We start from the raw sequence: 23,522 nt of genomic DNA, 5'->3' as shown, positions 1-23,522 counted from the left end.
TATGCCATCTTGGCCTGATTATTTACCTTTTTTGAATTTCATTTTCTGTATCAAGTAGATACAATGCTACCATCTTTGTAGGATTTTTGTTAATATTAACAAGACAACATTTGTAAAGTGCCTGATATTTTACCAAAGGCACCACAGGAGCTCAAAAAGTTAAATCCTTTAAAAAGTAAATAATGTTCCAAAAATGGATTATTTAATAGTTTCGGTAATTTTTGCTTGTTTAAAGACTTACATAGCTAGGGAAAGCTGCTGAGGAGCTGGCTTGTAATTAATTAGCTATCATTTATTCGAAAGTTATTGATTACTCCTCGGTAATATGACCAGCACTACATAGGAAGATATAAAAGAAGAGCTTATATTCTTTACTTTGAGCATATTCAGTTGAGTACTCTGAATATTTGTTTTAGATGTATTCATTTTTATCCGACTAGCACAAATAATGACAATATTTTCAAGCAAATAATTCATAGAAAAGCAGCAGAAGATATCTGAGGTGGTATTCTTTATAATGAATTTGAAACTTTGTGTCATAGAACAATTCTGCCAAAGTTAGAGCTTCTTATGCATGGTTACATAAGTATGTTTCATATATACATGTGTACTCTGATAGAAAGCAAGAGATGGGGGAGTTTTTCCTTTTATCAATATAAGTCACATTAAGGAGGTACAAATACTGTACCATTATAGAGGACATTATGTTTAGTGGAAAGACAAAATAAGCTTATCATTGTTTTCTTTAAGCCTCTCATCTTTAAATATGACCAAAATACGTAATTACAGTTTCTTGTTTTTTGACAGATTCAGAAAAAACTGTATACATTAGAAGAACATCTTAGCAATGAGATGCAAGCCAAAGAGGAACTGGAACAGAAGTGCAAGTATGTTTTGTAGATAATTAAATATTACATTATAAAATTTAAGTTTAAACATTTACTGAAAAAAGAGCGGCCAGGTGTGGTGGCTCACACCTGTAATCCCAGCACTTTGGGAGGCCGAGGTGGGTGGATCACGAGGTCAGGAGTTCAAGACCAGCCTGGCCAAGATGGCGAAACCCAGTCTCTACTAAAAATACAAAAATTAGCTGGGCATGGTGGCGGGTGCCTGTAATCCCAGCTACCTGGGAGGCCAAGGCAGAGAATTGCTTGAACCTGGGAGGCAGAGGTTGCAGTGAGCTGAGATCATGCCACTGCAGTCCAGCCTGGGTGACAGAGTAAGACTCCATCTCAAAGAAACAAAAGAAAAAAAAAGAAAAAACAGAAACGGAGAGCTATGGCCTGGTGCAGTGGCTCACACCTGTAATCCCAACACTTTGGGAGGTCAAGGGAATTACTTGGGAGGCTGAGGCGGGACAGTCGCTTGAACCTGGGAGGCTGAGGTTGCAGTGAGCTGAGATTGCGCCACTGCACTCCAGCCTGGGCGACAGAGCGAGACTCTGTCTCAAAAAAAAAAAAAAGAAAAAAGAAAGAAAGAAATGGAGAGCTACGGCCGGGTGCGGTGACTCACGCCTGTAATCCCAACACTTTGAGGGGCCAAGGGAGCTACTTGGGAGGCTGAGGCAGGACAGTCGCTTGAACGTGGGAGGCAGGCATTGTAGTGAGCCAAGATTGCGCCACTGCATTCCAGTCTGGGCAACAGAGCAAGACTTCGTCTCAGAAAAATAAAGGAGAGCTACCAAGTAATTATGTAATTACTTTTAAATTTATAGACTATGTTTTATTGTAAATTAGAAGTTATTTACTGTTTCTTTCTGAAATTCTTTAGATCTGTTAATACTCGCCTAGAAAAAACAGCAAAGGAGCTAGAAGAGGAGGTAAAGTTGCCCCACTTTTTTATTAACATTTTTGTTAGTAAAAATCTTTGATGTCTGACTTACCTAAGGAGCTCTCTTGGTACCATAGTAATACGTGCCTTGAAACCTACCTTGTAGTATTGGTGGATAGGACTAAATTATAGGGAAATCATGTTATAAATAGGCTTCATTCTGTTATGTTTTTGCAAACTTGAGTTAATTCAGTATGTGTAAATATTTCAAGGGAAAAAAATGCTATTCATAACATTTTAGGCCAAAGTATTAAATAATGATAGTTCAGTAATTGTGGAAATTTACAGGAAGTTTGAATAGTAAACAAAACATTTACGGTCTTTATGATTTAAGAGTAGTGTGCTAGTTTACAATCATAGAAAGCATTATTACAGTTTTAACAAAAAAGCAGTGAAAGCCTTTTTGAGATCTTTTTTATCTGTTTGGAATAGCAAGTATTTTTTGTTTTGATTTCATTTTTATACATACTTTTTTGATAATAACTTTAAGCATTATTTCAGATTACCTTACGGAAAAGTGTGGAATCAGCATTAAGACAGTTAGAAAGAGAAAAGGCGCTTCTTCAGCACAAAAATGCAGAATATCAGAGGAAAGCTGATCATGAAGCAGACAAAAAACGAAATTTGGAAAATGATGGTTTGTGGTGTAGAATATTAATTACTCATCAAGAAAAAAATTAAGTGTGTGTATGTGTGTTATGCTAAGCTTGCCACTGAAATGCTTTTTATCATAGTTAACAGCTTAAAAGATCAACTTGAAGATTTGAAAAAAAGAAATCAAAACTCTCAAATATCCACTGAGAAAGTGAATCAACTCCAGAGACAAGTAGGTGGATCTAATTTGTAGTAAAGATACTGGGTTTTATTTTTAACGCGATAACATTAGTTTTAATTGACAGTGTTGCAAAAGGCCTTTACCTCTAATTTTAGAAATCATTTGGAAAATATTTTTAGGTTTTTGTTTATTTTAAATAGTTTCTAATGGGGGAATACATTGACTTATTTTCATTACATACATGTGTGTTTGTTTGTTGTTGTTTGGTTTTGAATGGAATAACAGCTGGATGAAACCAATGCTTTACTGCGAACAGAGTCTGATACTGCAGCCCGGTTAAGGAAAACCCAGGCAGAAAGTTCAAAACAGATTCAGCAGCTGGAATCTAACAATAGAGATCTACAAGATAAAAACTGCCTGCTGGAGACTGCCAAGTTAAAACTTGAAAAGGAATTTATCAATCTTCAGTCAGCTCTAGAATCTGAAAGGAGGGATCGAACCCATGGATCAGAGATAATTAATGATTTACAAGGTATTGAAGTCGTGGTTGCACTTGAATTAATTTTGATGATTCTTATTTTAAAAATAACTTTAGATGATGGATAGTGTGCTGGATTGGACATTTCTGAATATACTATTATGTAAAGTTAGAATATTAGAAATACACTGATACAAAATTTTAGGAACAAAAGATTTAATTTCAAATAGTATGATTTTAAGTATTAAACTCTTCAGGTAGTAGATTGGATTCCATTTGAATTAACTATAAAGCACAATACCAACAAGTATAAAACTTCTGCTCACAAACAACAGCTCCAAAATAGAAGGTGGCTTGCAAACTTTTTATTCCTAATTGAATGTATATACTTTGTGGGTTTAATGTTTTAAAAAAACGTTGCAATTTTTAGGTAGAATATGTGGCCTAGAAGAAGATTTAAAGAACGGCAAAATCTTACTAGCGAAAGTAGAACTGGAGAAGAGACAACTTCAGGAGAGATTTACTGATTTGGAAAAGGTAAAACATGTTTTATATTTTTGCATAAGAAAATTGACAGTAGACTTTCAGGTTAGAAAAGTTATTCTAAACTAAGGGAAGTCACTAACTGGAATATTTCCACATGCTCATGGATTCCTTTTGATTTGGACTTGATGTGTAGATAAGAGATGTATCTGCAGGCTTACCATAACACTGTACAAGCAGCCCTCAGCATGCTGGTTGCTCATGAAGTAAGGGGACCCATCCTGGAGTGTAGATAATGAGGATCTCTCTAGGACCCAAGGAAAACTCAAATTTCGACTCATAACATGTCTTAAAAATGCCATATATAAAGTCACCATGACTTTTGGCATTTAGAAGTTTTTCTTTTAAAATACTCTAAGAAAGGGATGATTTCTAGAGTCTATGCAGTTAGCATTTTATTTTCATTCACTTATTTATTTACTCAGCTAAATATTCAGTGTGTTATATGTGGTAGAAATATCAGGATGCAGTCCTTGCCTTGAATAATGTCACAGTTGAATAGTTAAGTTTAAAAGTAATAATAAAGCACAAAGATAATTCTAATGACAGTATGGCAAATAGAATGATAAGACTTATGGACAGGGTATATGTATTGGGTGTATGGGATGCATCCCTAACCTGACAGCAGGATAGGTCCGTAGGGCAAAGGCACATTCTAAGTTAGGGAGAACAGCATGAGCAAAGACATAGAAGATGGAAAATAAAAAAGGCATTGTTTGTTTTCTGGAGTATAGAGTGGGAGTCAGCAAATTTTAATCGTTTAAAGGCATGGTAATAAATATTTTATCTTCTGTGGGTTATATGGTCTTGCAACTGTTCAGCCCTGCTGTGATTCATGAAGGAATGGATGTGGCTACGTTCCAGTGAAACTTAAAAAAGAAAAAGGCATCAGGTTAGATTGGCCTGAAGATCACAATGTGGTTGTTATGTAAGGACATGAGGAATTCAGTGGTCAGAATGAGGCTACAGAGCTCGGCATGAGGTAGATCATGCAAGATAGCGAATACTCTATTAAGAAATTTTGAATGTAGTAATGGGCTAGCCACTTAAGGGCTTTAAATTGGATGATCTTATTAGAGGTACATTAAAGATAGATCGCTGTATACTGTGTGGAGAAAAGATTTGAGGAGGACAAGACTAGAGGTAGAGAGACTGGTCAGTAGACTTTTTCAGTAATGCTGATAAGGAATAATGGGAGACTTAGTACAGCCATTAAAAGGTTGGAAAAATTGGAAGACTCAGAAATATTTGGAAGAGGAATATTTGGCAGCACTTAATAGTTGATTAGATATGGCATATGAGTAGCAGTCAAAGATGAGTCCCAGATTTGTAGGTTGTGACAAGATATATAGTGATGCTGTTAATAAAGAATAAAGGAAAAATAGCTCATGAGACAGTGATAAACCCACTTTAGTCCTCTTAAGTTTGAGGGTACCTATGGGACAGCCAAATTAGCATGTCTGCACTGCAGTAGGCTATAGTAGTAGAAGTTAGAAATATTTGAGTCATTGGTATGTAAGTAGCTGAAATCATGTGAGTGGAATAGCCCATCTGGGAAAAGACTGTGTGAAGTAGTGATTTTTTTTTTTCTTTTTTAGGACAGAGTAGATTACTCTGTTGGTGGATTATGTGGTTTGAGAAATCATTTTTTGTATGAAAGGCTTTATTTGGAAAAAAGCCTTTATCATATTTATGATATGAACTATAAAAATCAAAGAATTAGAAAACCTTTGGGGTTTATGTAGAAAATAGGAGGAGTATTGGGGCTTAGATCACCAACATTTAAGGGACAGCTGGGAAAGCTTCAGGAGCAACAGAAAGGATGCAAGCAGAATGGAGAGAACCAACTAAGTACAAGGTCGGCAATGCCAAGGGATAGTTTTAAGGGGGGCAGTGAGTTCAAATAAGACTGAAAAGGGTCTTTAGAATTTGATATTGAGAATAGCATTGGTCTTTTTGTTGAGATTAAGTGAGCTTGATACAGATCTCAGAACAGCAGAGTGGTGGTGTAGACTGTTGGGTACAGTGGGAAGTAGAGAAGTAGAGTATATAGATTACTATTCTAAAAGGTTTGAGTGAAGACGGGAGGGGAAATACTGAACATTCTAGTTAAGCCTGTTAAAAAACAAGTTAAGGTTGAGCACCATGGCCCACACCTATAATCTCAGCACTGTGGGAGGCTGAGTCGGGAGGATCACTTGAGCCCAGGAGTTCAAGATCAGTGTAGGCAGTGTTTAATGAGACCTTGTCTCTACATTAAAAATAAAATAAAATAAATTAGCCAGGAGTGGTGACAAACTTCTATAGTCCCAGCTACTTTGGAGGCCAAGGTGGGAGGATTGCTTGAGCCTGGGGAGGTTGAGGCTGCAATGAGCCATAATCAAACCACTGCACTTCAGCCTGGGTAACAGAGCAAGACTCTGTCTCAAAAAAAAAAAAAAATTAGAAAGCTTTTGAAATTGTGAGCTAGTCTCTTTTTTGTTGATAGCTGCATTTTAAATATTTAATAGGAAAAAAGCAACATGGAAATAGATATGACATACCAACTAAAAGTTATACAGCAGAGCCTAGAACAAGAAGAAGCTGAACATAAGGCCACAAAGGCACGACTAGCAGATAAAAATAAGATCTATGAGTCCATCGAAGAAGCCAAATCAGAAGCCATGAAAGGTATGCATTTTTTAAAGAGGGTTTTCCAGCAGCGTCTTCCTAAGAATTGATTCTGTGTTAGCTTTTTGGTTTTGAAACATTTTTTTTTATATTTCATTGTCAAATATTGGGAATTGGAGGGAAAAAAACTATTAGGGAAGCTTTACATAGATATTCTATTATTTTTCCTTTGTATCATTACAGTAATCATTTCTAAGATAGTAAGACCCAAACACAAAATTACATGATCAGATTTTTAGATCAGAGATAAATTAATATTTCTCAATATTATATACCTGGTAATATCTGTACCACTCGGTATACGTGTATCAGTAGTAAGAAGGAATATCTGAACTTCACACGCTGTATACCTGTTACTATTGATACAGGTAATTCTTGTAATACAAGAGTTTTGTATTATAAAATTCTTGCCAGTTTATGCAAGGTAAGAATTTAAAAGTAATAGCTGGTCTAACTAGAATATAAGTTCACTGAGTATTTTGATCTCTAACATGATGAAGATACTAGCCAGATTTGGTCGAAGCCATATAATACTAATAGATAACAAAGTTAACCTTCCCATAAACTAGACTTTATCCTGGAATTGTCTTAGGATAATTTTTTCTTTTCCAAACTGACTGTTTATAATGACTCTGAAATTCCAGAGAAAATCAGTACTTTAAGCTATTCTTGTGAAAGGCTTAAAACTCTTGAACAGAAATTTATTTTCATATTGAAGCATTACATGAGTAACTAACTTAGAAAAAATAGCCTTTTAATTATTGCATGTAATTAAAATGGTAGATTTTCTTAGTAAAAATCAGTGTAGTTTAAGGCACTAAATCAGGATGATAAGAAATGAAATGAGTACTTTATTTACAAAAATCTAATTGTAAGGGAGAAAGTTACTGGGCCATATTTCCTTGTCTGTGGCCTAGAAGACAGAGTTCAATTATTTTCATTGAGGTATAATTTACATGCAATAATAAAATGTAAACATTTTTGACATTTCGTGATATGCTCACATAACTACTGTTCAAAACAAGATAAAGAATATATCAGGCTAGGCATGGTGGCTCACATCTGTAATCCTAGCACTTTGGGAGGCCAGGGTGGGAGGATCTCTTGAGCCCAGGAGTTTGAGACCGGCATGGGCAACATAGCAAGACCCTATCTCTACAAAAAATAGAAAAATTAGCTGGATGTAGTCGCGTGCGCCTATAGTCAGAGCTACTTGGGAGTAGGACTCTCAGTATTCCTGCAATGATGCAGGAACATTGCTTGAGCCCAGGAGTTCAAGGCTGCAGTGAGCCATGATTGCATCACTGCACTTGAGCCTCAGTAGCAGAGCAAGACCCCATCTCAAAAAAAAAAAAAGGACTATTTTCATTATCTCAGTAATGCCTCTTTCTATTCTCAATGCCTACATTATGGTGATTGTTTTTTTTGTTAAATGAGGACATTTGTTTAGTGATTATTCTCTGAATTGATAAAAATGAACCAATTCAGTATTAACTACCATTTTTTTCAAACTATTAAAACGCTAATGTAAGATACATGATGACTTCCATATTTTACACATGAGTACACAAAACTGTTACATATTATAGATGGTTTCAAATCTGAGGCTAAAGCCTTTGGTCCTTCTGTTGCATGTCATTGGCTCCTTGGATTAAGAACATGGCTCACCAAATAATTACTAGCTATGTGACCTTGTCTAGTTATTTAAACTTTCTGTGTCTTGTTTCCTGTGAAGGGACAATTACAGTATTGTTACGTTGTTGTGAAAATCAAGTGCAATAAAACATGTAAAGTGTTTAGAAATGCTATTATTAGTACTACATGGGGAATGTTTCATTTTTCTGCACTTTTGAAGACCATTCATTAAACACTAAATATTCATAGGTTTAATTTTTACCTAATACAACTTTATAATAGATGATAATTAGATGTTGAGCATTAATTATGAAAAAGCAGAGGAGCCTTAATTGAATGTGAACTGAAGTACTAACCAGTATATCAAGATAATCCTTTAACTGTGATGACTTACATTTAACACTGAAATCACTTGGAACTTTGCCTTCTGATAAGTAAAATAGATTAAAAATTTATTGTAAATAATTTAGAAAACACAGGAAAGTATAAAGAAAAAAGCAAAGATTACTCATAATCCTATGAGTTAGGATACTATTTTGTAAATTTTCTCCACTTTCTATACCGTTTTGCTTTTTAAAAAACAAGACATTGTGAGCGTTTCCTTGGTCATTAAAAATTCTGCTTAAATAATAAGCACTTACCAAGTGCTTGCCATATGCCAGGCAGCATTTAAGTGGTACACATGTATTAAATCTTCACAACCTCCCTAGGTGCTGTTATCCCTATTCTGGAGATAAGGAAACAGGTCCAGAGAGGTGAATTACTTGCCCAGTCAAACAGTGTTAGACCCAGGGTTTAAGCTCAGAAAGTTTGGTTCCAGAGTCTTGTCCTTTACCACCTCCCTAAAACATATTTTTCAACACCTGCATAATAATGTGTTAACATGGAAAGTCCTATGGAGATCATAGAATCTACCTGGATTGTTTTAAGGTAAAAATAGTAACACTGAGAGACATAGAATAGCAGTAAGCAGTAGAATATAAGAAACCTTTGTTTAAAGATGTAAGCATCTTGTAGAATATAAATAAAGGTAGAACTATCTTGCTTCCATTAGAATAGATGTAATATTGCAGAGTGTGATACATTTTTACACCCTGTGAATGAAACTCCTAATTTTCAAGTATGAAAGTGAAAATATTAAATTGAAAATTAAGGCCAGGTGCAGTGGCTCATGCCTGTAATTCCAGCACTTTGGGTGGCCGAGGCGGGTGGATTGCATGAGGCCAGGAGTTTGAGACCAGCCTGGCCAACATGGCAAAACCCCATCTCTACTAAAAATACAAAACTTAGCTGGGTGTGGTGGCACACGCCTGTAATCCGAGTTATGTCTGGAGGCCGAGGCACGAGAATTGCTTGAATCCAGGAGGTTACAAAGAGCTGAGATTGCGTCACTGCACTCCGGCCTGGGCAACAGAGTGAGACTCTGTCTCAAAAAAAAAAAAAAGAAAAGAAAAAAAGAAAATTAATAGAATATAAGGCAGCATCATTTATTATAATTTTTATTAGTATGGTGTCATTTAATGTGCTTTTACTTACAAATTTATGATATGCTTCTTTTATTTGTAAATTTATGATTGTGTCCATTTTTATTATACTAGAAATGGAGAAGAAGCTCTTGGAGGAAAGAACTTTAAAACAGAAAGTGGAGAACCTATTGCTAGAAGCTGAGAAAAGATGTTCTCTATTAGACTGTGACCTCAAACAGTCACAGCAGAAAATAAATGAGCTCCTTAAACAGAAAGATGTGCTAAATGAGGATGTAAGTATTAAGTGTACTAATGATTAATAATAAACTAATGAATTAATAGGTTTATTCATGAAGGTCTAGTGATGGTTTCATAATTTTAAAGTTTTTCTTATAATAGTCTGCAACCTGTTGGTTTAACTAAATTTTGATGATATACTAAAGGAATCATAATTTAAACATTTTTAAAGTTATATTTACCTTATTATATTTTATTTAAAAAATACAATTATAATATTATTAGAAATACAAAAAAAATTTTAGTATGAAATGAATTAGCTACCTAAGGGTAAAAAAATCTGTTTTACATCACCATATTTTATACCAACTTCATTGATTAGAAAAATGGAAATAATTTACTTATATACCAAGTACACAATTTATTTCTTAGGTTAGAAACCTGACATTAAAAATAGAGCAAGAAACTCAGAAGCGCTGCCTTACACAAAATGACCTGAAGATGCAAACACAACAGGTTAACACACTAAAAATGTCAGAAAAGCAGTTAAAGCAAGAAAATAACCATCTCATGGAAATGAAAATGAACTTGGAAAAACAAAATGCTGAACTTCGAAAGTAAGTTAATTGATTGAGATGTTTTAATATGCATAATTATCCATGTATAAGTTAATTTTGGTGTATCTGTGGATTTTCTTTTGAGCATTTTACTTTCTAGACCATGTTTTCTATTTATTTCTGTACAGGTAATGTGTTGAGTGTCACTGTTGTCCTTCGAGATTATATTCGTTTCCCCAACAGTTTTTACTGCTGCTACCTAATTACAATGTGATGATAGAGGAAGTGTTGGTGATGAGGCAGAAGAAAATATCTGGGATTTTCATACCATGCTTTTAGATTCCTCCTCAGGGCTCTTTCTCAAGCTTATTGTCCGTGTGCCTGTTTGTTTCCTTAGTTTCTTAGACTTGGAAATGTTTGACTGTTAAATAAACAGCATGTAAATTTTTAATCATGTCATAGGATGTACTCTAGTGTCTACTTGATTTACTTATAAAATGGAGAACATATTGTTAAAATACTTTAAAAATATTATAGGCACGATTGTGCACGTCTGTAGTTCCAGCTACTTGGGGAGCTGAGGCAGGAGAATCACTTGAGGTGAAGTGAGATTGCTTTGCACTGTGATCATGCCTGCGAATAGCCACTACATGCCATCCTGGACAGCATAACAAGAACTCAACTCTAAAAAAGATAAAATATATAGTAAATATACTATTAAAATTTGTCCCATTTATTCTATTAGTAGGAGAATTACTTCTTCCTAATCATGACCAAAGGTCATATTGGATCCCGGTTGTTTGATGAAAGACAGTGTGATAGAGTGGAAAGAAAAAAGTCTTTGGATCCAGACAGACTGAGTTGTGAATATTGGTTCTGTTACTTACCAACTAACCAACATCGGGCAAATGATTTAATTTCTCTAAGCCTTTTATCACACTTGTGAAAGGGAGCAGTAATAGCTTCCTTGTTAGGGATCTTGTAAAGGATAGCAATGGTTTATTTAAAGCATCCATCATATGATAAGTGTTAGGGACTATTACTGCTAGATCTGTTACTGTTACAACTACTACAGCTACTACTAATGTATCCTCATTATAATTGTCTGCTTTATGCATACCTGTGACAGGTCAGTAAGACTGATGCTATCTAAGAAAAGATGCTTAAAATATTCAAGTAGACTTTGTTCTTTTTGCTGAGCTGATCTATTTATTGCCAGGGTAAGCCTAGACCTTCAACTTCATGAGATTTAAACTTTTAAAATTGGAACTAGAAATTGGAACAGTAATCAGACATCTTTGTCTTTGTGTTTTTTGTGGGTTTTTTTTCTGTATATTAGCTTTATTTTTCTCTCTTATTTCAGGCCAGCTTTTTATTCTAACGATAGTGTTTATGCAGATGTAAGAGCTAGTTAATCATCTAGGTTGTGTTTCCTTCCCACTTCTAATAATGCTTTGTTTATACCTAGTGTATATGCCTCTTATTTTCTTTGTAAGTGAATGGCGTTCTGTTATTTCTTAGTCCCTCTTTTCCTTACCTCTCCCCACCAAAGACACCCATGTTTTCTATCTTAGCCACCTAATAGGGTTATAGAGGAAGTGTTCATTGTAGGGTTAAAATTGAAGGGCAAAAATCATTTATTTATATTTTGTTCTCCCCAGTCCTTTTTTTTTTTGGAGATGGAGTTTCACTCTTGTTGCACAAGTTGGAGTGCAATAGTGTGGTCTCAGCTCACTGCAACCTTCCCTTCCTGGGTTCAAGAAATTCTCCTGCCTCAGCCTCCCAAGTAGCTGGGAATACAGGTGCCCACCACTATGCCCGGCTTATTTTTGTATTTTTAGTAGAGATAGGGTTTCACCATGTTGGCCAGGGTGGTCTTGAACTGCTGACCTCAGGTGATCTGCCTGGCTTTGCCTCCCAAAGTACTGGAATTACAGGTGTGAGCCACTGTGCCCGGCCCCCAATCCTTGATTAAGGTTTTACATATACTACATCCTCAATAAATGTTGTATGAATGATTACATCCCTCTTAGGTGTAAGGCATTGTAGTAGTTACTATGAAAGATAGAAAGATTAACCAAATACATTTCCTACCCATGAGAAGTTTACTAGCATTTTATCATTAGTTATTCAGTGGGGAAGATAAGGCAGGTACATAAGTGAATAGAAGGTAAAAAAAAAAAAAAAATACATGCAATGGGAATTTACATATGAAGTGCTATGTTGGCTTCTTTTTAAAATGGCCAACATGTATATCTCTTCTTTCTTGTAAGATTCCAGAAAAACTCTAGTAAAGGAATTAAAAAATATATAAACCCACAATAAATAAGAATGAGAATGGGTTGGAGGGCAAGAAGGTTCTCTAGTGAATGAGATGGCAGTTAGATGGAAGCCTTGTGACTGATGAAGTAGAACAAAAGAAGAAAGGAGTATATATAAGGCCAGGGGTATACATGAAGTGGGATATAGATGGAAAAGAAGTATTCAGAGCAAATAAGGCCTGGAGTAAGTTGTGACACTAAATGAACTAATCTGCTGATCATACTCTACCATTAACCTTGCAGATATGTCTGCAGCCAGGCACCTCCCACCACTAAGGTTTTTATCAGAGCATTCTCCTCTACAGAGTAATTGGGTACAACCTCTGGGGTAATTAGAACAGCTAATATGGGGTGAAAAGCCTTTCTCACTCTGGCATTTAGGGGTCCCTTTGCTTAATGCTGGCTTTTAAAGCCTCTCATCTTAAACTGAAGCTTGCCAGTGAGAAAACTCCTACATACATAGAGATTAAAGTTTTTCCCACCCCCTTTGCAAGTAAATAACCAAGTATCACTAAACATTTGAGGAAAGCCTGCAATCTGAAAGAGGAAGATTATGATAATGAAAGAGGAAAAGTGCCCCCGGAGGAAACATATATCAAGGAGTAGAAGAGAACTGCTAAAAGTTCTGGAAAAACAAAAGCACTGTAAAAAGCTACTGGTAATTAGTATTGATCAAAGATTTCAGGAGATACTGCTTCCATTAATTGAGAACCAGACACAATGTAAAAGGAACAGCCAGAATAGGAACGAGCTCTTGAAGATGAATAATTACTGCCAATATAAATTTGTTGGAAGGGTTCAAAGTCAAAGAAATTTCCTAAAATGTAGAACAAAAGAAGAAATGTCATGGAAGGTTTGAAAGACGTAAGTAAGGCCCAGAGGGACTGTTCTAGGAGATCTAGCACCCAGCGAATAAGAATTCCAGCAAGAACTAAAAACCAAGAGGAGGAAATTAAAGAAATAATAGAGAAGAATTTCCCCTAGCTGAAGGAGAAATGTCTTTAGACTGAAGGGACTCAGCATATAAATGAAAAAAGATCTATATCTAGACATATTCTCATGAAATTTCAAAAACAATGACAGGATAGGAGTGTTAGAGTTCTCATCTAGTAAACCGGGGAGATTATAGTTTGTGGTTGCTATAAGAGGGAAATGGGGGGTTCATTATACCACTTAGATGAGTGATACAACTATATTGGGAGGTGGGGAGAGGTTGGGGAAGGCAAGAGAGCTAAATTCAAGTCTGACAACAGGGAATGGGCAAATAATATCTAAAACTTATGAGATGTGGAGGTAACCACCAAAAGATAAAACACAAATGAAACAGTTATTTCTTCTAGGCGAATAGGATTAGTAGGGGTGGAGAGGTGTCAAATGAGGAGACTTCTACTTCTCATTGTAATTTCTTCCTTCTGTTCTGTACTCCTCATTTGTAATCATGTAATTACATGGTTCTTTCTGAAATAATACTTTCTGAAAATTACTTTTCTTAAATACCTAATAAATATTAGGTTATAAAAGTTACATATAAATGAAAGATATCAGCTCTTGAAGAAGGTCCTGATGTTAAAATTATACTGTGGTTTGCTACAAGTGGGCTTAGCTGACAGTGATCGGACAGTTTTAAAACTTGACCTTTCATATATTTGTTAAATTGCATCTCTCACATCTTTGACTCATGGAGAAATAAGAATCATGAATTCTCTACAGTATACTCATCAACAATAAAATACAGAAATGACACAGTTAAGTGACATTGAGTCATAACTTCCCTTTTTACCCACAAGTTTAAGAGCCAGTGAGTAAACAAAGTGACCAAATTATGTTAAATGGGAATGAGGATAAACCTCCTAAGCAGTATACGAACTGAAGAGACTAGGGTTAAATCACGTGCTCCCTCTGAGTCTTCCTGCATTGTAGTTTTTAAAAATACCCAAGTGGTGTTCATATAGCTTCCCATTGTAAAATACTTGACTACATTTAAAAAAAAAAGCAGTACGTAAGCTCTCCTTCATGAATGCAGACATTTTCCTCTCTCCAGAGGTAACATATCAACAATTTGTTATTTCTCCTTCCAGACTGTTTTCTGTGCCTTTATCTATATATCTGAACAAATATATGTGAGGTTGAGTTTTCTGTACATTTGATTCTATTTTTTGCTTGTTTTTAAATTATATCATACAAATTGTATTGTTCTCCAACTTGCTTTATTCCTCCTTAGTTTTGGTTTCGGATAACTATAATTTTTATGTTTTTAAAATAAGGCCAGAATTTAATGTACCATTTCAACCCAGCTTCTTAAATGGGTTGTTGGGCTTGCTTTTATTTTATTTATTATTTTATTCCTTTATTGAAGATTAACATAATACAGAAAAAGTACACAAATACTAAGTGTGGAGCTGAGTGAATTTTTACAAAGTATACAAATCTGTGCAGCCACCATCCATGTTTAGATCTAAAGCCAGCACTTCTCGCCTCCCCAGAAGCCCCCTCCCAGGCATTCTGCACTCCCCACTGAGATCACCAGATTTGAGGTGCTCTTTGGATTCTACTTGTTGGCATAAATGGCTGATCACAGTGTCTGTATGTGAATGTGTGATTCAATGTTGATTTAGTATAACACTGGTCTCAGAACCCCTTTATACTCTTAAAAAAATTATCAAGGGTTCTGCCGGGTGCAGTGGCTCACGCCTGTAATCCCAGCACTTTGGGAGGCTGAGGTGGGCAGATCACAAGGTCAGGAGATCGAGACCATCCTGGCTAACACGGTGAAACCCCGTCTCTACTAAAAATACAAAAATTAGCCAGGTGTGGTGGCAGGCGCCTGTAGTCCCAGCTACTCGGGAGGCTGAGGCAGGCGAATGGCGTGAACCCGGGAGGCGGAACTTTTAGTGAGCCCAGATCGCACCACTGCACTCCAGCCTGGGCGACAGAGTGAGACTCCGTCTCAAAAACAAAAATAATAATAATTATTATTATTATTATCATCAAGGGTTCCAAATGAGTTTTTGTTTACGTTTGTTATATCTAATGATTTGTATTGTGTTAGAAATTAAAACTGAGAAAACTTTAAAACACAGGAACACACAAACACGTTATTTTAGCCATCAGAATGATGTAATTACAAGTCATGTGGCCTCAGGAAAAGTACATACGGTATATAACGAGGGAATGAGAGTTTTAAAAAAAACCATGGTGCTCAGTATTATGAAAATGATTTGACCTTATGGGTTCTGTGGAAGAACCTCAGAGACTCCCAGGGCTTCCCCCAGACCATACTTTGAGAGCTGCTCGTTTAAAATATGTGTAAGTTATTTAAACCTTTGATTCATTGTCCTCACAGAGAACGTCAGGATGCAGATGGGCAAATGAAAGAGCTCCAGGATCAGCTCGAAGCAGAACAGTATTTCTCAGTAAGTTCAAGACACATTAATTTGCAAATAGCAAACAGAGTTTTGGTTGGGATATTTTATTTATACCATACAACTCATATAAAAAGAGCAGCTGGGCAAAAGAATGTAGATAGTTTAAGAGAAATTTATTATCATTGCTAGAAAAATAATTCTAAGCACAAAACATACCTGGTGAAGCTGATTAACAGCATTGTTTTCAGGAAGAAAATATTTTCATAATGCAAGAAATAAAATTGTAATAAAATTATCATTTTAATAGTTGTGCTTTTTTTGAGATCAGTTTTAAAAATATGAAGTAGAAACTCCTGTTTTATTGATTTAAGCCAATAACATTTTTTTGTCTAAATTGTTAATGTTTTTCCTTGCCTCCTTATTCATTTTACCTATCTGTGCTATTAAATGAGAAATATCACTGTGATATCCAGTTGAAAATCATGCTTCTTAATTATTACCTGAACTTGTATTAGTTAATTGATGACTAGAAATAGGAAAGTTCATTAAACTATTCATTTGCTCGGGGACTTAGCAGTAAGAAAATATTTGTATGTGTTCATTCTCCTTTTTGTCTGAATAGCTTTTGAATGTAGAAGTAATATTTCTGATGATGATACGCATTTCTGTTGTATTTTGCTATTTAGACCCTTTATAAAACACAAGTTAGGGAGCTTAAAGAAGAATGTGAAGAAAAGACCAAACTTGGTAAAGAATTGCAGCAGAAGAAACAGGAATTACAGGATGAACGGTAAGTATGAGACCCTTGTCTCTTTTTGTTCATAGCTGTATACTTTGCTCCTAGAACAATGCCTGGTAATCACCAAATAAAAAATTATTGATGAAGTGAATTAGACAAAAACTTTCACTTCATAGTGAAAACTGAACCATTAAAATGATATATTGCTAAAATGTAGGGACTCTTTGGCTGCCCAACTGGAGATCACCTTGACCAAAGCAGATTCTGAGCAACTGGCTCGTTCAATTGCTGAAGAACAATATTCTGATTTGGAAAAAGAGAAGATCATGAAAGAGCTGGAGATCAAAGAGATGATGGCTAGACACAAACAGGAACTTACGGAAAAAGATGCTACAATTGCTTCTGTAAGTCAAATTCTTGGTGCTTTTTTGGATTATAGTTAAATTGCTATATCTTAAACCTTCTTTAGACATACTAAGTATCACAGATCTAAATGAAAAATTATATATGCTGACTACAAGATTTTTAATCTAGTTAACTGCCACCTTCTCAATGTTGTCAGAGGAGCTTACTAAAAGTGACTTCACCTGTTAATGAATTCAAAGTTAAAGGTCTAAAGTGAAAGGGTCATTTTTTTTTTTCTTTTTAAACAGAACTTAGTTCAGAAGAATCTTGAAACTACCAGGAAAACAGTTCCGTGCAGGTTGAAAAAATTGCAATAAAAATTTCAGAGAGAGGTCAAATATCAAGTAGTTAGGTTTACCCTATCAATTAACTAGACCTATTGAAATGCTGCGGTAATTAAAAAGTCTGGTATTAGAACAGGGATATTCAATCCTGTTCAGTGGAAATGAAAAGGGAGGCCAGAAAGATTTCTGCACATACAGGAACTTGGTATATATGATGGGAGTGGCAGTACACAAATCACTGGGAAAGGACACATTTCATAAATGGTTTCAGAATAACTGTGTTTTTATATGGAAAGGAATAAAATTAAATCCCCACTACATCACACACAAAAGTAAATTCTAGCTATCTTAAGGACTATGAAAAATAAAAATTTTAAGCTATCAGAACAGAATCTAAAAGTTGCATATGACAGAAGACAGCATAAACAAATGACAGAAGGGAGATATTTGTAATATATTTATTAAACAAGGGATTTGTATCTAGAGTATATGTAGAATGTCTGCAATTCAGTAAGATAAGATTAAAGAATTTGGAAGAAAACTTAGCTGAAAGAGAAAACCTAAATATATAAGCATGTACTTAACCTCACTATTGTTCAGGAAAAGCCTAGGTAAAACAACTTTGAAATACCATTTCATACCCATCACTTTGGCAGAAATTCAGTAGCTGACAATTTCAAGTGTCTGAAGAATGTCTAGAAAATGGCATTCTTATTCACTATGGGTAGTATAAATTTAGTATGGCATAGTACAGTAAGTAGTATGACAGTTTCCAGTAAATTTTAGGCATTCACATAATGCAGTCAGAAGAAAGTCCACATTAAGATAAATACACTATAGAAATTTAGGCACAATGCTTATAGCAGCATAAATATTTAGCAAAAACTCAAATGTCCATGAATGAATGAATGCATGCATTAAATGTAATAGAAGATGGAACTATTACATCAGATCTTCATTTGTATCAGCAATTTAATGCCTTAATATGCTATTGAGTGAAAACAATTACAGAAAGATAAATTCAGTAAGATAGAAAATCGCAGCCTGGCATGGTGGCTCATGCCTGTAATTGCAGCACTTTTGGAGTTGAAGGTGGGAGTATTGCTTGAGCTCCAGGAGTTTGAGACCAGCCTAGGCAACATAGTGAGACCCTGTTTCTACCAAAAAAAAAAAAAAATTTTTTTTATCCAGGTGTGGTGGTTCATGCCTATAGTCCCAGCTAGCTACTCATGGGGGCTGAGGTGGGAGGATCCTTAGAGCCTTGGAGGCTGAGGCTACAGTGAGTGGTGATCGCACGCCATTGCACTCCAGCCTGGGCAACAGAGCTTGAGACCTTGTCTCCAAAAAGAGAGAAAAAAAAAAAAGAAAATCACATAAAGCCACACTGTGTATTGTTTCATGTGTATATAATGAAATACAGTCATGGGTGGAAAGGCAAAACACGTAATTTACAGTAAAACTTCCTTCAGGCCAGGTGTGTTGGCTTATGCCTGTAAGTAATCCCAGCACTTTGAGAGGCCTAGGCGGGCGATCACTCGAGGCCAGGAGTTTGAGACCAGCCTGACCAACATAGTGAAACCCCATCTCTACTAAAACTATAAAAATTAGCCAGGTGTGGTGGCGCATGCCTGTAATCCCAGCTACTAAGGAGGCTGAGGCAGGAGAATCACTTGAACCCAGGAGGCGGAGGTTGCAGTGAGCTGAGATTGCGCCACTGCACTCCTGGTTGACAGAGCAAGACTCACCTGGGTGACAGAGCAAGACTCTGTCTCAAAAAAAAAAAAAAAAGAAAAATAAGAGGTTTAACAATATTCTAGGATGTTTCTCATTTGAATCATTTTATAACATAAATTGTGTAAATTGGGATGTGATTATTTTTTCCTCTTTCATTTCTTAGCTTGAGGAAACTAATAGGACACTAACTAGTGATGTTGCCAATCTTGCAAATGAGAAAGAAGAATTAAATAACAAATTGAAAGATGTTCAAGAGCGTATGTATTAACAAAAAATGTTTATTTTTAATATACCTAATGTTTATCAGCTGCTGTAATTACCAATGTAATTTTAACTTTTTTCCATGTTTCAGAACTGTCAAGATTGAAAGATGAAGAAATAAGCGCAGCAGCTATTAAAGCACAGTTTGAGAAGCAGCTATTAACAGAAAGAACACTCAAAACTCAAGTATGTATAATAGAATCTAAATATGATTTTGAATTTTGTCTCAGTTTATCTCTTTTACATTTTACTTCTAGCATTACAAATTGGTAGCAGTAGTCATCGAATGTACCAATATTTGTGAAGTCACAATTACCTGATTTTTGCCAGGTTGAGAGAAGTTAGATTTGATTAATATTGTTAAATTCTATAGCAACTAAAATTTTTCTTAATATTTCCTTTTGGAATCACATTCTCTTTCAATTTATTGTTGTAATTTAATGTGTTTTTCTACTTTTAAGAACTGTTGGGATTGACCATTTGCTGACAACCTGAAAAGTGTCAGTTAGTTCACTCTCTGCCAACTCCTACAGTTGCATATGTACTGCATGAACAGGTGGGGTACTAGATACTCTTCACTGTTGTTGCACATAGAATATTTTATTAATTTGATGTCACTGCAAAATGTTCTTCCTCCAGAATAAAAGAAGAAAGGTCTGCCTATTAAAGTCTCTCTAGAACTAAAAAGTCAAAATGGTAGAAAGCAACATCAGATCAATTCTATAAATATTTAAATTATAATTCTCAGAAAACACGAGTAAAAATCTAATGGCTCATTGGATGGAGAAGGATGATGAGTAGTAAAGGAGGTGTATTATTTAAATATTATAGAAAGTGTTTCTTTGTAGCCCTGTATGTAGGGAAGGAGAGTATTTGTGATTGTATAACTTGTTGCTCTTGATGAGATACTGAGAAACCATAAACGTAATTTATTTTATTTATGTATTATATTTATTTTTACATTTTTTAAGGCTGTGAATAAGTTGGCTGAGATCATGAATCGAAAAGAACCTGTCAAGCGTGGTAATGACACAGATGTGCGGAGAAAAGAGAAGGAGAATAGAAAGCTACATATGGAGCTTAAATCTGAACGTGAGAAATTGACCCAGCAGATGATCAAGTATCAGAAAGAACTGAATGAAATGCAGGCAGTAAGAATACTTTTTGGACTCTAGACTGAAGACTTCTTTTTAAGAAGTAGAATTATTTTCATGTCTGTGTTTTACTGGTTATAGACCATTTCTATTTAATAATTATTATTGAACCAAGAAGCAAAATGTTGAGTTATGTTGCATCCAATTAACTTATTGTAATTAAATTTCTTATAGCAAATAGCTGAAGAGAGCCAGATTCGAATTGAACTGCAGATGACATTGGACAGTAAAGACAGTGACATTGAGCAGCTGCGGTCACAACTCCAAGCCTTGCATATTGGTCTGGATAGTTCCAGTATAGGCAGTGGACCAGGGGATGCTGAGGCAGATGATGGGTTTCCAGGTATGGATTTGTTTTCAGCACTAATATTTATCTTAAATATAAATCAGTTGATTGTTTTAAGTCTTGCGACTGACTGCTCTGAAGGAAAAATGTTTGTAATTTCTTTAAGGGAAAACCTACTCCTTGGAGTAAGGATTCAAGTAACATTTCAAACTTATTTTATTTATTGATTTTTTTTACAAAGTTTTTCATAAACATACAAAAGAAAAACTCCACATGTCTAGTTTTTAAATTATTATATTAGCTCTATTTTTAAGCTTTCGTTTCATTTTCTCTTCTTTCTGCATTCTTACTTCCTTTTATGTTGGGTGTTTAGTTCATATCACTCAGTCACACACTATGGAATCCATGTCATTCACCTACCAGCGTTCCTCTACTTCTCTCAATATTGCCACTAAGCCTTCCAGTTCTCACACGCTCCTTGACTCTGATTCTGACTCAGAAGAAGAATCTTTGCCTTACTTACCCATTTCATCGGAACCTAATGGTACAGGTGATATCCTGAAAATCTTCTCATCTTTGGAGTTTTTCCCACTACCCTTAATTTTAGTCCTTTTGAAGATTTTTTATGTAACATTAACTAATAACCACTAACTCTAATATGTTGTTGTAGACTCAGTTAAAAATAAACTGCTGCATGAATAAAGAATTTGTTTTTAAGGTATTTTCTCATGGCATTGCTGTTATAATTGATAGATGCCAACTTGCGAGAAATGGAGTAATACATTATATTGCTTAAGAGCGCATGGTTTCACTGCTTGTTTTAGCCATTTTCAACCAAGAAGAAATTCTTCCTGAAGTTTCATAACAAGAGTGGTGGTACAGAAAAAGTACTTCGACTGATTCAAAGGATATGCTTAAGGTTTTTACTGAGTACTTACTGACATTATCCTAGGCATATGTCCTTCATAAGAAACATGAAAGAATTTGGCCCGATCGTTACCCTGAAAGAGATTACAGTTTAAATGAAAACAGCAGAGAGTTCCGTCATTCAGAGTCAGAGGCAGCCCTGTGTGATCTTTCAAGACTGCAGTTTCCTCATCTAAATTAGGAAAATAATTCCTGTTCTGTGCGGTTTTTTTAGGATTAAAGAGAATTTGTGTAAAGCATCCAGCACGATTGATACATAATAGAAGTTAAATAAGTGATAGCTACTTTTACTATTAGAATAACTTCCCCAAATGCTATTTCACATATTTATTTCATTAAAAGACATTGATCAAATGTCATTAAAACAAATTCCGAGGATTCATACACATTCCTTAGTTGAATTACAATGTTACTGATTTTGATATTTTGGAATTTAGAAATCTTTTGATTATTTTGCTGCTTATTAACCAAATTTTATCTAAAATGTACGTAATTGGTCAGGTGTGGTGGCTCATGCCTATAATCCTAGCACTTTGAGAGGCTGAGGCAGACAGATCACCTGAGGTCAGGAGTTCGAGACTAGCCTGGCCAACATGGTGAAACCCCATCGCTACTAAAAATACAAGAAATAGCTGGGCGTGCTGGCGCGTGCCTGTAATCCCAGCTACCTGGGAAGCCAAGTTAGGAGAATCACTGGAACCCAGGATGCACAGCCTGCAGTGAGCCAAGATTACGCCACTACATTCCAGCCTGGGCGACAGAGCAAGACTCCATCTCAAAAAAAAGAAATAAAATAAAACAAAATTTACATTATTTTATTTTATTATAGTTATTCTAAAAGTCCATTTTCTCTGAACACGTAATTATTTAAAATATTTACTCCTTGAAAATGTGCACAATGTGGCCCTCTTCCAAAGGAAAAATAAAGGAGTCTAAGGCAGGTGTACCAGTGAGAATAGAGAGTTGCTGCTGCTGCCTTTTTTTTTTTTTTGGCAACTTTTCTCCTGAATTTTATAAATGCATGAATTTAATCAATGGAACATTTGACTTTATAAAAGTATAGACTATCTGTTTCCAATATGATATAACCTGGATTTTGTTTTGCATTGCATAACTTTTTACTACTGATCCTGTACTATTACTGTATCCTAGATGATGTATAGTGATAAATTCTAAAGGATATATTTTATTTGTTTTATAAATTTCATATTAAAATTTTATTAAGTTCTTTGTTATCTAAGGAGAATTGTTATCTTTAGCCTCACATGTTGTGCTTATTTGTAGAATCAAGATTAGAAGGATGGCTTTCATTGCCTGTACGAAACAACACTAAGAAATTTGGATGGGTTAAAAAGGTAATTGATACTTTGGAATATGAGCCTTTTGTTTTTGTTTTTGTTTTAACTCTAGTCATTTGGCTTTTGTAGTTGTAGGATATACATGACTGGTACCTTTAGACACATAGAACTTGTTTATACTTCAGGATTTGAAATGATATGATTTTATTTATCTTTGTAAAAAATTTTTGTCCTCATACCTTGTTAATAATAAGACAGATTTTATTGTTAGGAAATTGTTGATTTTGATACTTTTGCTGTTTTGTTGGGAAAAGAACTGTGAATATAGTAAAAAAGACCCACTTATTTATTTTCCTCTGTTACTATGATTATTGATGTTATTATGTTTATTTTTGAGAAGGTTACTAATGATGTTGGATCCCAAAGCTAAGTCCAAAAAAATTTGACTTTACTTCTCCCCACAGTTTGCTTATTTAAAATATCTATTAATATAAACAAAATTTATTGTTATTTTAAGGAAGACTGTCCTAAAGATATATTAAATACTTTTTAGTTAC

General features: G+C 35.1%; 1 protein-coding gene across 6 annotated transcripts in view, besides 1 other annotated feature; it reads left to right on the top strand.

The window, feature by feature from the left end:
* The window catches only part of ROCK2 (Rho associated coiled-coil containing protein kinase 2), a 165,679-nt gene that overhangs the window by 127,461 nt on the left and 14,696 nt on the right, over positions 1-23,522 (top strand). For all 6 annotated transcript variants that reach the window (NM_001321643.2, XM_011510417.3, NM_004850.5 and 3 more), the window contains exons 12-28: positions 808-887; positions 1,771-1,819; positions 2,332-2,467; positions 2,565-2,656; positions 2,891-3,137; positions 3,514-3,620; positions 6,137-6,296; positions 9,530-9,690; positions 10,067-10,251; positions 15,856-15,925; positions 16,564-16,667; positions 16,834-17,020; positions 19,203-19,296; positions 19,392-19,486; positions 20,272-20,451; positions 20,629-20,797; positions 22,952-23,022. In NM_001321643.2, coding sequence (NP_001308572.1) covers positions 808-887; positions 1,771-1,819; positions 2,332-2,467; positions 2,565-2,656; positions 2,891-3,137; positions 3,514-3,620; positions 6,137-6,296; positions 9,530-9,690; positions 10,067-10,251; positions 15,856-15,925; positions 16,564-16,667; positions 16,834-17,020; positions 19,203-19,296; positions 19,392-19,486; positions 20,272-20,451; positions 20,629-20,797; positions 22,952-23,022 — 2,187 coding nt within the window. The remainder of the gene's footprint in view (positions 1-807; positions 888-1,770; positions 1,820-2,331; positions 2,468-2,564; positions 2,657-2,890; positions 3,138-3,513; positions 3,621-6,136; positions 6,297-9,529; positions 9,691-10,066; positions 10,252-15,855; positions 15,926-16,563; positions 16,668-16,833; positions 17,021-19,202; positions 19,297-19,391; positions 19,487-20,271; positions 20,452-20,628; positions 20,798-22,951; positions 23,023-23,522) is intronic.
* Positions 14,180-14,474: a silencer, noted in NCBI's record as "tiled region #13580; HepG2 Repressive non-DNase unmatched - State 17:Gen3'". NCBI's record gives its function as "represses a minimal TATA promoter and a strong SV40 promoter by Sharpr-MPRA in HepG2 cells {active_cell/tissue: HepG2}" and the evidence as "EXISTENCE:reporter gene assay evidence [ECO:0000049][PMID:27701403]".

Source organism: Homo sapiens, chromosome 2 (assembly GCF_000001405.40).
Source record: "Homo sapiens chromosome 2, GRCh38.p14 Primary Assembly".
Classification (NCBI taxonomy): domain Eukaryota; kingdom Metazoa; phylum Chordata; class Mammalia; order Primates; family Hominidae; genus Homo; species Homo sapiens.
The sequence above is the reverse complement of the archived record's forward strand: the minus strand, read 5'-3'. Positions and strand labels throughout refer to the sequence as shown.